The sequence below is a fragment of the Homo sapiens genome, chromosome 10, assembly GCF_000001405.40.
Source record: "Homo sapiens chromosome 10, GRCh38.p14 Primary Assembly".
NCBI classification, from domain to species: Eukaryota; Metazoa; Chordata; class Mammalia; order Primates; family Hominidae; genus Homo; species Homo sapiens.
The window spans coordinates 44000475-44016258 of NC_000010.11; the positions used below are offsets into that span (position 1 = coordinate 44000475).

Here is a 15784-nt window from a genome sequence, read left to right on the forward strand (position 1 = left end):
GAGATACTTTTTCCCACCTGTTGGCAAAGAACCTCAAGAGTTTTCTTGTCTTATTAGAACTTTATGAAATAAGACACTGGGACTAAAAGAGAAAAAATGATTAATCTAAGGATATGAAGAAAATGATTCACCACCTATAACAGAATAAAACTTTAATATTCATATGTCTTCTATGCTCAGAATAAAGTATAAAAAATCATAAAATCGGCAGTAAATATTTGCAAAAAATCCTACTCACTGGCTTTCCCAGGTAAAACATGATGGCAGGCATGCACAGTTTGCAGTTGACAGTTTTTTTTTTTTTTAGACGGAGTCTCTCTGTCTCCCAGCCTGGAGTACAATGGTGCAAATTCAGCTCACTGCAACCTCCGCCTCCTGGGTTCAAATGATTCTCCAGCCTCAGCCTCCTGAGTAGCTGGGATTACAGGCGCCATTATGCCAGGATAATTTTTGTATTTTTAGTAAAGACAGGGTTTCACCAAGTTGGCCAGGTTGGTCTTGAACTCCTGACCTCTAGTGATCCACCTGTCTCAGCCTCCCAAAGTGCTGGGATTACAGGCATGAGCCACCATGGCTAGCCTACAGTTTTTTGTATTGCATAAAATAGTTCTACCTTGTTAAGTACATTCAACTTTATGATTTACATTTATCATGTAATTAAAAATCCATCAATCTAGTGTATGTTGATAGAAGGTCTGCTTTTGGTATTCTTTTTGCTTGAATACTCCTATCAGTTACTGAATTATTTGGTATGTGGAACTCCTAGAACCACAGGGAGGTATGCAGGTATCATCAAACCTGGCAAATTTCCTTTGTGGAATAACAAAAACTGTGATTCCACAGCTTTTCTAAGACGTTGGAGATTCTCTTTTAGACTAAGCAAAATTCTCATTACAGAATGTAACCCAGGCCAATTTATAATTGAATCTCTATTTGTTCTGATGATGCTTCTAAAATAGCACTGATATGTTTAAGAAGTTTGGGATTTTTAATTTACTTCAAGGATTAGCTCATATGTTTAACTGGAGTTTTAATCCTGTGATACGTATATTGGATTCATGACCCTTTATGCAGCATTTTTAGTTTTGTGATGTTTGGCAGAATGACAATAAGGTTTCCCCCCATTTTGGTTTCAGAAGGACATGAATAGAGTGTATCATAACTCCTAGTCCTAACCACTTTCAAAACCAGCATCTTTTTTTGTAAATGTTGCTATTGCTTGTCCAGGTACCTCAATTGTAGCTTGTGTAATGTTTATGAATATCTGTCTCTTATGACTTTCATAATGGCTAGTTGATATTTAAAAATCTATTTCTGTTTTGAGGGGTGTGGAAAAAAAGCACTAAATAACAATTTGAGAAAGGCATATTACTTCCAGATTCTGATGTGTGTGGGAAAATACTGTCACAGTGAAAAGCTTGACAATTTACTGCAACAAGGAACTAATAGCTTATCAAAACCAACTTGTACAGACTAATACATCTTTATCATAGTAAAAAAAATCACAAAGTTTATGAAATAAAGATAATCATATGAAAGAGGTTGAAGTGGGCTGAAATTAAAAAAAAGACTTGATAAAAGCTAAGAGAGGTAAGAATGCCAAGGACTCTGTTACAAAATTAAAACCTGTACCATAAAGAGTGAAAAAAGGAGTTGGCAATTAAAAAAAAAAAATCAGTTACCTGGAGGCCAAACTTCATAGGCTGTCTAAGAAAGCAGAATGAATATATAAGTAGAATATGATGAGAGGAAATAAAATAGATATCAATAATGGAAAATCCAATTTATGACTATGTGGCATTCTGCTAACAAAAGCTAAAAGAAATGTGGCAAAAAACAATCGTCACCTGGAAGAAAGCTTTTGAGGTTATAATAGGATATCTGGACTTTTCCAATAAAATCGATCATATTGTGAATAGAACTTTGCATGCAGATATACTCTGCCCAAATGTCTTAATTTCAGTGATGAAGAATAACTGCCCAAAAGGAAAATTACAAGGAAAATATTTAGAAAAAAATCTTCCAGAGATTTTAGAAAATTCTTCTGACATTAAGCAATAGAGAATACTGCAGGGAGTCCTGTACATTTTTCTGGGGAAAGATACAGAGATTCAAAATTTCTACGTTCAGCCTATAAGAAAGACATGTTTGGTTATCCAAGACACATGTGCCTTTCTCAGAAAACTTACCGGTAGAGTGAGAAATAAATCAAACGCAAATATTTAAGAATAGGGAGATGATAATGTAAAAAACTGGTAGTGGTTGGGCGTGGTGGCTCACGCCTGTAATCCCAGCACTTTGGGAGGCCAAGGAGGGCAGATCACTTGAGGTCAGGAGTTCGAGACCAGCTTGGCTAACATGGTGAAACCCCGTCTCTACTAAAAATAAAAAAATTAGCCTAGCGTGATGGCGGATGCCTGTAATCCCATCTACTTGGGAAGCTGTGGCAGGAGAATCACTTGAACCTGGGAGGCAGAAGTTGCCGTGAGCCAAGATCGTGCCACTGCACTGCAGCCTGGTGACAGAGTGAGACTCTGTCTCCAAAAAAAAAAAAAAAAAAAAAAAACAAAAATAATGATGGTTAGCATTATTACCAGGTACACATGTAGAGCCAGATATTCAATAGTTTTGTAAATAAAGAGTCAAAGTTGTTTGTAAAAAAATATATATATATATATATATATAAAACCAGAAGGTACATGACATTTAAATAGTAAAATAATAAAAATAATCATTCTGGCATAAGCAAATGAATAAAAGCATGCAAACATTTTTCATCTAAGGGAGGGTCAAAAGTTATTAAATTTTCTTGAATTTGACAATTAGAGAAAAACAAAGAAAGATGTATGTTTTGGAAAATCTTGAAGGATACCAGAAATAAATTAGATACAGGATATACGCTTCCAAATCAATGAAGAAAATAAAAACAAAGGAGATGTCCTTAAGAAAAGCACAAAAGAAACAGTAAAAGCTTACCAAAGTAGAAAGCATAAAATGAGATGATGGAATTAAGAACAATATATATTAAGTCATTCAGCTTAAATTATGAAATAGAATCAACTACAGCTAACAAAATAAAACACTTAAAAAGATATAGAATCATGCCAAGTAAAGCTAGGCACAGATACCCTCCGCACTGCTGCTCACATGCAGCTCCTTTCCATAAAGACCACTTTCATGAAAAGTAGAATTTAGTGAAAGAAAGATTAACAAACATGAGGAAAGTTATATTATTGATGAAAGGTACAATTAGCAATAAAGAAATAATATGAATAAACTTATATGTGTCCAATAAGGCACCATGAAAAATAAAGCAAGAGTTCCTAGGAAGCTTGTAGATGAAGTACATATTTATAAAACTTCCCTCTTGGAATGCCCCCCATGAAGAAAAAGACCCCAGTATAAAGAAAGAGTTGGTCATTGGTGAAACAAAGAAACAACTCAATGGAAGAGTTGTTTGGAACTCTTCCAATGGAAGAATGGAAGAATATATACAGAATGCAATAAATTTTAGACCAAATTAGAAGAGGGTACTAAGGCAAGGTAAGCATCTCTCTTAACGCAGGGGAAGAGAGAGCCCTTGGAGGTGAGAGATGATGACAGCCTTACAAACAGCTTCCAAGTTGGAGAGGGAGTTCTGCATTATGGATGGCTTAGGGTTCATTTTCACTGCATAAAAGAAATCAGGGCCAGGCATGGTGGCTCATGCCTGTAATCCCAGCACTTTGGGATGCCGAGGCGGGCAGATCACCTGAAGTCAGGAGTTTGAGACCAGCCTGGCCAACATGGCGAAACCCTGTCACTATTAAAAATACAAAAATTAGCCAGGTGTGGTGGCAGGTGCCTGTAGTCCCAGCTACCTGGGAGGCTAAGGCAGGAGAATCACTTGAACCCGGCAGACAAAGCTTGCAGTGAGCAGAGATCATGCCATTGTACTCCAGCCCAAGCGACAGAGCGAGACTCTGTATCAACAACAACAACAAAAATAAAAAATAAATAAATAAAAGAAAAGAAAAGAAAGAAAAGAAAAGGATTCGAGAAGCCTTGGCTAAAGGTGAGACCACATGGCCCTGCCATTTAGGTTTTCTCTAATCAGGAAGAGTGACTGGACATGGGCTGGGGCAGAAGAAAAATTGGGAAAATGCCCTGGGAGTCGGCTTTGCATCTGCAGATGCAAATGAGCAGAAATCAGTTAGCATTCACCCATCCAAACAAGATGTCCTCCTTACTAGTTGACCTGCTTGCCAAGAGGAGAAATGGCCGAAATTGCAAGGGAGAATTTCCCACAATACACACATATACACCCTCTGCCTGCCACAGAAACCAATGGTCGGGGCAGAGTGTTCAGCCACCTGAACGCGAAGGGCTCCGAGATGATGTTCAGAAAGTATAACATGCTCAGGTCCCACGTCTCCACAGTCAGGGGAGGGTCCCTTCATTGGCAGCATCCTGCCACTAAGAAAACTCCGGGAGCCGCCTAGATGCCGCACTGCTCCTTGGTCCCTCCAAAGGGACTATGGGGAGCTATGCAGAAAGAAAACCACATAGGCAGGAATGTCGAAAGACTGCGGGCTCTGCCTGGAGGAACTGAAGTCCTTGTGGCCCGAAGTTTCTAAGCAGAGGCTGGGCTGCCGTTTGGCGGGGATTTCCCCTTCCTGAGCTTACATTTTTTTCAAGGACCAGGAAGAAGGGGACCGGAGATGAGCATGGCAAAAGCACGTGAGGCCCTGATTGCGGTCAGATAGCACCCTGTGTTCCTTGCTCCTCCACCGTGAGTGTAAGGACACAGGTCCAGGCCCTTCCCAACGCTGTGCTGGGGCAGGAGCCCGCAGGGCCCCAGAGCCTGGGTGGTCCCCGCTCCCCGGGCTCTGGAAGTCCGCTGTTCGGGGTAAATTGGCAGCTGCTGAACCCTAAAGTCGTGGGGCAGGGCTCCGACAGGCCTTTGCGCCTCCTTTCCCCATCAGCGTTTAGAGCTAATGGGAAAGGAATTGTTTATTTTCTTTTGTTTTTATATTTTTGGGTTAGCTTTACCGCTACAGAAAAGTAAGGTAAATGACCCCGCATTCACGGAGGGTGACTGTGCAAAGCGTGAACATGCGCCGAGTTTATGAAGCGGGTGTCGGAGCCAGCGCTGCTTCTCGCTGACCCGCATGCCCCGGCCGGCCAGGAACCTGCGCCTGAGTGCCCTGGTGTTTCTCTTTTTTCCCACGAAAGCACGTGTGAAGGGCAGAGCCACGTTTATCAAGAAGTCATTTTTCCCGTTCGCCGGCATTACACCATTAGCATTACAGGGGCCACCTACACCTCGTATTTCGATTCCACAGCTCCGGAGAACCTGCGGTGCTGCGGCCACTCTGTGGGTGTCCCCCCACCCCCATCTCCACTGCGAGCTCTCCGGCCTGGGCACGCAGCTGCTGACACACATCAGCATGGTGCCCTGGCCGGCATCTGCTCTGTGGCTGGTGCCTGCCTTGCCAGGGGCAGTAGGTATTGTAAATGCCTCTTTTGACTGGCACCAGCCCCCCGCCTCTCCTTTCCCTTTCTACAGCTGTTTCCCGGTTCTCTCACTGCTCCCAAGCGGAGAACATTTTCCTGCACCCCGCCCCCCTTCCCACCATTGCCAGGCCCTGACAGTCTCCACTTTGACGCCTCTTGTACTGTCCCACTGCCCATCAGCCCCAAATCTCATAACCTAGGTGGCTTCTTAATTTACTAAAATTACTCTGCTTCTTAAAATGCTTCGAGGACTCCGGGTTGCATGTAACCGTTCTTCTCAGGCTGAGCTGCGTGACCCCCTGGGGGCACTTCCCTGGGTTCTAGGGCACCAAAAGACTCCTGGGAGATGTCCTGTCTTACTCTGGAGCACCCATTTTACGTGAAGCTTAGAACTATTTTTGAACATTAAAACAAATATCAACGTACTTACAGAGTAGAAGATAAAACTGGAATATTTAAAAATATTTAAAATAAATTATGTGCACAGGGGTTCCCTTTAGGCTATGACCTAAGACCCTTAGGGGATAGGAGATCAGGGTCCTTAAGGAGTTTGAAGGTTAAGGGAGATCATTCTATCCAAAGAAACACAACGTCCTAGTGCGTCCTGCGCGGCCCTCTGAGGTGTAGCCTCTCCACCTGTCTGATCTTATTTCTCAGTGTCTTTCTCAAAGCCTGTGCTCTGGCCACACTTCATGGAGTTTTCTCTGCCAAGGTTGCTCTTGCCCTTCCCTTTCCAGGTGACACGCTCATATCCCCCTTCTAGGTTTATCGAGATGTTTTCTTCCTCTCTGAACCCTCTACTCTTTCCTCCCCAAATGGAGTAGAATCAGTTCCTCTCTCTCTTGTCCCCAGCCTCTCTCTTTCTCCCAGCTTCCCAACACATTCATTTTGAAAAAAGTAAGTGTTTTGGCTTCTGTGTCACAAGCGCTGTGGAGGAATTCTTTCCCAACTGTGCACATTCTGTGGGTTGGGGAAAACCAGCACCCACTTAAGGCACCTCCCTGCTTACACAATCCCCCAGCAGTGACTCTATGTGCAAATGTCACACCTGACTTGGCTCTCCTTCTTCCTCACAGTGCTGGGGCCCACATTTAGGGTTAAACACTGAGATAATCATTTCCTGGTTGTATTCCTGGGAACTGCCCCCAGAGAAACCCCAGTCAGGACTTGCCAGGGGGACCTGCTCTTCTTGCCCTGACTATGACAAACCCAGATTTGCGACTGGGGGTCCTCGCCCCATCTGCCTCACTTGTTTTCACTCTACTTTCTTCTTTGGGTTTGGGAAATTTGTCAAGAAGACCTCTTTCATCTTCCTCTAGAAAAGAGGTCTGAGAATCTGCCCTCCCTTCCTAGAACTTACCACTGTCCCTAACCCACAACTGGTGCTGACTAAACTCAAGTTGGTTGGATGGATGAAGAGACCATTGCAGGCAGCCCTGGAGAACCTCCCTCTTTCAAGTTCCTTCCCAGGAAAGAGTGTCTCTTGGGGCCACGGTTTTGTCCCTCTTCGCTAGCTTTGCCTTCATGGAAAGAATAGTACAAACATTTACAAAGAGCTCCAGACTGAGAAGGTAATTCCCACTTATTCCCAGCTGGTGTGATGTGAGGAGTGTTACCCCACCAGACCAAGGCGCCCAAATCCACATGCATGCCTAATAGCCAGTGGGACACCTGTGCTTTCTTTCCAAATCCCTCAATGAACTGTCTTGAGAAAGACTCACTCACCCACTGCCTAGATCAACCCATACCACCACCAGCCCTGTCTCTCACACTCTACATTTTCCCTGCCGTGTGGTTTCTGGGCTCAACTTCTTGTTTTTTAATTTCCAGGACCAGAAGCTTTCCTATGGTATTAGCATTATAGGTCTCCATGAAGTAGCTGAGTGGGTCGAGAAGTAGAGTTTATGCAAATAATTGGGGAGTAATCAATACTGTAGCTGGGGTAAATAAAACAATTAGAAAGCCATCAACAGGGAAGAACTAATTCTTCTTGGGGGAAGAGAAGAGCAGGGAACACCATCAGCAAAGAGGTGATGTGGGAGCATTTCAAAGGTGGAAGGAAGCAGAAAGAGAAGATGACGGCACATTCTAAAATGAAGGGAGGAGGGGTTGCAAAGGAATCAAAGCATCCCTGACCTCTCCTTCAATCAAAAAACTGTAAACAGAATATGTTTATTTATATGCGTTAGTATTTTTTCTCTTTGCAGGGGTAATTTTATACCTTTATGGAAAATCATTTAAAAGCCTTTTATCTATTAGAATTAAAAAGTATATAAGAAAAACATAAAAGCAGTAAGGGCAATGTTATTTCAGACAACTCAGAATAATTTAAATCGCCATCTGGAAAGCCCATCAGCGACAGAGCCTTCTGTGGCCTCTTTTCTCTCTCTCTCTCTCTCTCTCTCTCTCGGGCTCACAGGTCAGCCCAGAGCATCTGAACATGACCCACGTGGCCCAAGACTCGTGGTGACTTCTCACGGTGGCATGGCTCTGACTTGGAATTCCCCTGTAGAGGTCCTCCTGGGTGACATCATGTGCATTCCATGCTGTGAGGTGTTTCGAGCCTGTGAGTGTGAACTTTCTTTATGGACAGGAAGCAAAGGAAGGAAAGTGAATTTAGGAAAACAATGGTCATCTTAAAAAAGAGGTCAGATTTTAAACAAAAGTTTACCAGCCTGTTTCATATTTCTACTTATTTGGAAACAAGGCTGTTGAACTGTCCTGACAGGCTCTCTCAGACAGAGCTGGGCCCTACAATGGCGTTTTATGCAGGGCTTTGTGGGGAAATTTGGTGAAACAAGCCCCTGGGAGTTCTGTACCCACCCACGCCACAGGGAAGCCAGGGCAAGCTCTCTGCTTTTAAAGGGCTGGTGTAATAGAGCTCAGGGCTGGTGGGTTAACGGCATTACCCTTATTAACCACCTCATTTAATTCTCACCCTGGTGGGTTGTATCTCCCATCTGAGAAAACAGGCTCAGAAAGTTGTTTCTTGCCTACACTGTCAGCACTAGTGAGCGCACAGAACCGTACCTAGGTTCATTTGATGCCAAATGTTCACCCCAACAGAGGGAGGATAAAGAAGGAAGAGAATGGAGGTTAGAATGAGAACCAGTGAGTGTGCGGCCTGCAGTCAAAGTCTGTAATTGTCTCTCCTGTGGCTTGGCCAGGACAGTCCCGCTCATTAGCTTGTTTGGCCAACAGTGGTTTCTAATGAGGGGACTTGGGAAGATAGAGAGAAAAATAGCAGTCACGTGGTAAAAGTGTTAAGGTTTGTAGATGCAATGAATCAACACAGGGAGAAAATAGTCAAGTTGGGAGAAGAGAAATCACTTCCCCAACATTCAAGCTTAACTGATTTGCTTTGGGTTCAGCCTTCCACTCTTGAGTCCAAATACTACATCATGTCTGAATGTTCCTGTCTTGAAATGGTAACCTAATAATCTTCCCAGTCCTCAGGGAGATGGAGCATTGTTTGTTCCCTTCACCTTCTGCCCTTAGAAAGCACAGTCTTTTGGAAATTATCTTTGGCTCCTTGGATTTAAGCACTGAAGGCACTGCAGCCTTGTCGTGGTTCAGAAAGAACGCACGCTCTCCACGGGCCTGTTCGGCCCCCACTCCAGGAAGATGCCACTTGGCCTCAAAATATTAATGTTGGTGGGTTAAACTGGACCCTTAACCTCCTTTCCAAGTCATAACGGGTATGCAAACAGAGGGGTGGTCCTATGTGAGCTGGAAATAATGTTCTTGGCTGCCGCTTCCTTCTCTTTCTATTTTAGTCCTCAGGGACATGGCTTTTTTGCTTCTTTGAGATTTGGGAGTCTTGAGGTTTTATTGCAAAAAAAAAAAAAAAAGAATTCTGTGTGGTTTTAGAAGGCAAGTCACTTTTGAGTAATTTAAACCCTCATTTATCTAAACACGGAGGCTGAGGACCTCTTAGCGAACTGGGTCCCATGTTATAAAACTTTTGGCAAAGATTTGTCATCTATCCTGTGCTCTGCCCACACTCTTACCTAGCAAGTCCCGTCGTCATCTTTCCAAGCCAGTTTGGTCCTGCTGGTTTCTCTTCTTAGGTGTGCATTTTGTGCATGTATGTGCAGATGCCTGTGCACATGAGCGTGTGCTATACAGGAGGTCATGTTACAGAGAGCAGAGGCTGCGGCTGTTTACCAAGCCCTGCAGCCAGTGAGGTTCAGGGATAATTAAGAGAAATCTCCCTTGGCAGAAATGTGCCTGCTTGGGTCTGCTTCTCATTTTGGACAATTGGAAAAGGCAATCACTCAAGTTTTATTGATGCCAAAGAGTTTTTCACAGTCATCAATATGGGTTACAAAAATGAAGTTGTTGACATCTTATTTCTGGGGTTTTTTCTTTCAGATAATTGTAAGCCCTCAAGCATCATATATTCTGAAATAAGGCAGTTCCACCCCAGAACATAGCATTTTCAATGCACTACATGCAATTGATCTTACGGACATTCTGCCAAATTCCTGACCAATCATATCCATCTGTATCTATCAAGCGCATTCAGAGTTCTCTCGCTGCTGTAAGACAGAGGAAGAGTAAAATCTAAGAGTAAAGTCAGAGTAAAATCTGACCTTGATTTTACTCCAAGAGGTGTGAGATAAGATTTAAATTCTACATGACTGCTTTTAGCTATTTCTTAACATGATGTATATTTTGGGTATTAATTCCTAGGGTGTTGTAGAGTTTAGCTTGCTCCCTTAAGCTCCCTGTTAGTTAGGTCTTCTGGACTGCTTTGTTTTTACTCTTGGACCAACCTGGGCTGAGGCTCTACTTGGGAGCTCAGTTCAGCAGCTGTGAGCCCTGATTATCAGCTCTCTAGGTCCTAGGAACTCATTCGAATATCTGCTAGGTTTCCCAGCTTCCACGGGCTGGAAGAGGACATCTTTCCTCCCCATTTGCAGAGAGACAGCAGCCCAGGACTGAGCTCTTGGCAGCAGCCCTCTGTCCCTGTCATAGAAGGCCAGGCTCTGTGCCCAGATGATCATGATGGGGCATAAGGCTGGCTTAGCCAGTCAGGGGCTGCCCTCTGTGAGCTCAGAGGAGACTTGGGCAGGCCTTGGTGCCTGCCCCTCATGGCATGAGGAGCCATGCTGATCTCATGAAGGAGGAGCCATTTCCCCCAGGTCAGCTCCCTGAGGGCTCAGACCTGAAACCAGGTGCACAGGAAGCTGAGTCACTAGGGGCCAACACAGTTGCTCTCAGCCCTGGGGAACGCAGGGGAGCTCATTACAGCTGGCAGAAGTCCTCACCATAAAAGCAGAGGTATTTACTAGCCCAGGAAGGAAATGGAGTGACCCATATGTAGTATTACCATGGAGGAACTCTATGAAAGTCACAGTTTTAGCCATCTTTTGTTTAAGATTAAAGAGCTAAGTAGAATAATGGAATAAGTTGAAGGTATTTGTCAGGCCACCGGGATGATGTCATTTGCTTTCTGTCATTTCTAAAACTGGAGCCAATTTCAGAAACTGAAGCCACCCCTTGCCAAATTATCCTCCTCTATTCTAGAGGGTAAATACTATTCTAGACTGCTCTTACCAATCTCCACTGAAATCCATGTACACATCTATAGTTCCTTTTTGTGGAAAAGAAGTCAAAGTTTAAATAAGTTTCCCAATGCCACAAAAGAGTTAAACAATCTGGACATTTTTCTCAGACCACCTCCTCTATCATCCATCTAAAAATGTGCTTCTCCCTCCAGATATGTGCAATGCTGCAATCAGTTGCCATGGAGACCACACTCTGGCCCTGTACCCTCAACAGCATGGTTAAATAAGTGGTAATGTCAGACCTCTCAAAGCATCTTGGCGGCCCCAATCCAGGTCCCAGAGCTCCAGCCAGCACAGGCCTGGCCAGCGTGGGCACCGGGCTGGGAGCTTGTGGGAGCCTGGGTGGTCTGGTGCATCCCTGGCCAATGTTTAAATGCTGACTTCACGTGTGGGGTTGCCCTGGTGGGTTGCGGTAGAGACACTCCTCCCATGAACTGCTGATAAGAATGAACATTGTAAAAGAAACAATTTGTAACTGGCTATGGCAAACTCTTCTTTGCCATGGGTCTGGATTCATGAAATACAACATGACCCCAACAGAGCTTTAATGTGTTCAGGAGCTGGTTGTTCTTTACCTTCCTCTTGCCCCTCTAATGAGTGATTACCTGCATGCCCATACCCGCTGATGCCCAATGTACACACAGCTAGAAGTATAAATGAGTGCGTTGACCACCGAAGGTCAAAAAATATATATATATTTTTACATGATATTGCTATAAATGACAGGACTGTGGGTCTGAGCCTGCTGGAAAGCAGCTGACTTTAGGTATTCTGTCAGTGGCCTGTTGGGAAAGCCCTGCCCAGCTGGGTAGCTCCATATGGCACCATATTGACCAGTTGCAGTGTCTTTCTTCTGGATTTTGAAAATGAGACACACACAGGGATGTCAACATTGGGCCAGGGTGAGCCAGATGACTCACAGAGAGGGTCTGTGAGAAGACGCCTTTGGATAGCAGGGCGTGTGTGGGCTCAGGGGCATTTGATTGGCAGCAATCAAACGGGGATGCAGAGATGAGAAAAGTCAGATCTCCATGTGGGGTACAGGGCAGAGTGCAGAGCACACTTGCCCAGGATGGGGTGAAAGATGCCTCCTTGCAGTTGGCCTGAATTTTAGATATTTTTCATTGGTGGATGCTTTTCCCTCTCATCTTGACTTCTCTCTTAGGATGAAACCCAAAGCTGTCCTCACTTTTCCTGCCAGACAGATTTCCTTAAGTGAGCCATGTGTTGGTAATGAAATCCTGAACCCACGCGGGGTTAGACAGAACCAGCAGTGCTTGATGATCTATCAGATGTGGGTGAAGACAGAACAGAGCAAGGTATGACATGGTGCCCAGCCTCTGCTTGGCCACAGCCATGGAGGACCGGGCGAGAGAGTGCAGAGAGCGAGGTGGTGCTAATGTGCCCTGAAAAACAGTTTCTGACCTGCGTGATGATAAAATGAATCTGAAGTGCCTTTCAAAATTGTTTATTCTTCCTCCCTTTGCTGCTGTTTCTCCTCCCCTTTCCTCCTCTGCTTCTCCTCTGCAGGGCAGCACATCCATTGAATGTCTTATCAGCTTCCCTGGTGTTTTCAGGGCAAACAGGCCCCCTGATCCATCTCTTGAAGGAAAATCTTTGTTATGACATTTCTAGCTCAGAGCAAGGCATGCTCGATATAATTAATTGGCAATTCCTTGGGATGGAAAAGTTCTGCCAAAAATGTTCTGAGTTCAGGGTGAGCATGTAAATCCTTTCTGAGCTCTGATCTGCAAGCTTGGGGGCAGGAGATCACAGAAATTAATGATTGGCATCTTTTCTGCAGTCAATTTCCCTCTAAAGGTCAGCAGTGGCAAAGCACACCTGGGAAGCAGAGCTTTGTAGAACCTGATAAGAATAAGCACCCCGTGCAGTGTCACTACATGCCACGCTGTCTGTTCTAGCTCATATGTGTGCTAATCCATTTGCTTTTCACAGCCATGTGAAGAGGTACTTTTAATATCCCATTTCCTGGATGAAGAAACTGAGGCACAGTGAGGATAAATAGCTTGCATAAAGACATAGGATGGGAAAGGGCTGGGCTGAGCCTGTGGTTCCGGTCCAGGCTCTCGGGCCACCACACCCCATCCTGCCTTTCTGTATCTCTGCATCTTCCATTGCTCTTCATCTGATGAGCCCTAGGCTTGATTACACCTAGATTTCTCTCCATACTGCAGCCAATTTGAAATTATTTTCTTTAAGTTTTTAGGGGGAAAATACTTTCCTATAGAATTAACCAATAAGGAAATCCTGTTCAGAGAGGACCCTTGCATGGGTTTGCAGCATCAAGGGATTGCTGTCTGTTAGGGTGAAGATGTGGCTAAACTTAAAGCCTGTCTCCTGGAACTAATACTCATCTAGAGGGGTGGGCCCCTCCAGTGCTACTGTGCCCCCTGCAATGGTACAGGCTCAGCAGTTGACACAGGGCTGCTATAGGTGCATGAGCCCATCTGATCTGCACAGGAGTGCAGTGTGCAGGACCCAGGGTGGAGAATTTGGGATTGCACCTTCATCTTCACACTTCCTTTTCCCCTCCCCTTCTCCTTTCCCTCCCTCCCTCCCTTCCTTCCTTCCCATTTTTTCTTCCTCTTTTTATCATGGCACATACATGCTCTGACTACATGCCCCATACAACTCACTGAGCTGACATGTGCTCAAAGACACCAGTCTGCTAAGTGTAGATTGAGGGCAAATCCTTTCTGAAGCCCTCAGGTCCTGAGCTGGAAGCTACCACTTGGCTGATGTAACTCCAGGTGTCTTCTTTGCTCATTACGAGTTGCACAGGCACCTATGGCCTTTTTACAGGGCCTGCAATTGGCTCCAGCTCCTTCCCTGAGGTTTTACACCTTCAGGGACAGTTGAGCTCTTGCTGGCTCATCTTGCTGCCTGAGTACCCAAAATTTGGTGCCTTGAACTGATTTCTGATCCATCAGCTTCGACCTTTAGCCCAGGTGCCGAAATTTTGTTTTCAAAACAGAGCAACCTATAACTCCATCCTGTTTGGATTTTTTTAAACTGTTACTTCTTATTCTTACATAGCTCATTTTTCCCCCTTCAAGAAATCCTTATTCTTCTAAATTATTCTAAACTCTACCAAATTTTCACCCCATACCCTAGAGTCGTAACCCTCCCTCCTCATAGGCACTCACTAAGGACTAGGGACATAGTGGTTCAGCTTTTCCAGGAAGCCGAGGGTTCCTGGCTGTGCCAGGAACCTGTCCTGAGTCTTTTGCCTCTGAATCACCTCTGCTGTGATGCTCCATCCAGGAATGAAATGATCCCAAAGCGGCCTCGCCGCCTCGTCAGAACTCGACTTGCTCGGTGGGGATGAGAGTGGAATGGAGAGCCGTGTCCACTTCTCTTGCCCTCAAGATGCAACACCTACTGAACCTGCAGCTTCCCCATTACTTGGACACCCAGCCCCCTGTGAATTCTCCCCACTCCGCCCCCACCTCCTACCAGGCGCCTCTTTATCTCCGCCTGCGTCAGCATCCGGCTGGCTCTCCACTCAGAATGTGGTCTCTCTCTGCCTCTCCAGCCCCACCTGTCCCCGGCACCCAGGCTGTGTCCTGGGGCTCTGCGCTCTGGCCACCCTCACAGTGACTGTCCAGGTAGGGTTTAGTGGCAGGCCCAGAGAAGGAGAATGGCAAACAGAAATGCCTCCTCAGTGTCCTGTGTGCTGTCTGTCTCCCCTGCTCTGGCCCACAGTCTCCCTGGGGCCAGGAAAGCACCCGCCATGCTCATCACTGTCCAGTGCCAGATGAAGTGCCTTGTAGGACAGTCTCAGGCATCCCTACTGGCCCGACCACCACTGACCAACCACCCACAGGCGTGCCCACTGTGCCTGCCAAGAAGTGTGCACACATTATCTCATGAGCCCTCTTAAAAATCCTCTGAAGAAAACTTTGTTCTTATTTCCATTTACTAATGAGGAAACAGGCTCAGAGCAACTGAGGAAGTGGCTCCTCAGCCTCGCTGATCAGCAGAATCACCCTGAAGCTTTTGGAATACAGATTTCTGAGTTTCTTTCCAGACTTCCTAAATCAACATTTCTAGAGTCAAAATATCTGTAATTTCCAAGAGTTCACCAGGAGCTTCTGATATCAGTGGAGTTTGGGGCTAAATTAATTATCCAGCCCCCAAAGCTAGTAGGAGAGAAAGGCATGATTTACACCTGGGCGTAGCTGGCTCTAGGACCTCTGTCCTCCTGCTACAGAAACCAGGGAGTGACAGCCTCTCCTCCTGTTCTTGGAGAAGTGGAGCCTCAGGGAGCATCTGGCCATACAGCAATTAGCTGCAAGGCAGACATTAGAAGCCACATCCTTGACCCTGGTCTGTGGCATATCCCATTCTCTGGCTGCCTCAATGCGTTTATATCCCAGGCACACGGAGAATATTGGCTGCTCTGGAAGCCAGAATTTGATGGATGACTAGAATGTAATATTACAGAAATGAGTTTTAGAGGCTGGTCATTTTCAAATGAGGTAACAGGTCTGAATGTGGCACAAGTGAGCAGAAGTGTATGCAGAGCACCTGCTTTGTGGCCTGGGAGTGGCCCTGCCCACCTTCCCTTCTCAGCTTTCCCTGGGCATCGACGTGGTACCAGGGCCTCGGCTGGGGACTGGGGTTCACAGGTGAGGAGAGCACCCTAGTTTCTCTGCAGAAGTGAATGGCCCAGCCCCTCTCTGGCATACCAT

The 15784-nt window shown here is 45.3% G+C and overlaps 4 annotated features.

Annotated features, from left to right (window-relative positions):
- Positions 5333-5906: an enhancer, noted in NCBI's record as "H3K4me1 hESC enhancer chr10:44501255-44501828 (GRCh37/hg19 assembly coordinates)". NCBI's record gives its function as "activates a minimal SCP1, AML or CMV promoter by ChIP-STARR-seq in primed H9 embryonic stem cells {active_cell/tissue: H9 hESC(primed)}" and the evidence as "EXISTENCE:reporter gene assay evidence [ECO:0000049][PMID:30033119]".
- Positions 7893-8212: an enhancer, noted in NCBI's record as "active region_3305". NCBI's record gives its function as "activates an Ori minimal core promoter by ATAC-STARR-seq in GM12878 lymphoblastoid cells {active_cell/tissue: GM12878}" and the evidence as "EXISTENCE:reporter gene assay evidence [ECO:0000049][PMID:35858748]".
- Positions 10343-10422: an enhancer, noted in NCBI's record as "active region_3306". NCBI's record gives its function as "activates an Ori minimal core promoter by ATAC-STARR-seq in GM12878 lymphoblastoid cells {active_cell/tissue: GM12878}" and the evidence as "EXISTENCE:reporter gene assay evidence [ECO:0000049][PMID:35858748]".
- Positions 14717-15216: an enhancer, noted in NCBI's record as "H3K4me1 hESC enhancer chr10:44510639-44511138 (GRCh37/hg19 assembly coordinates)". NCBI's record gives its function as "activates a minimal SCP1, AML or CMV promoter by ChIP-STARR-seq in primed H9 embryonic stem cells {active_cell/tissue: H9 hESC(primed)}" and the evidence as "EXISTENCE:reporter gene assay evidence [ECO:0000049][PMID:30033119]".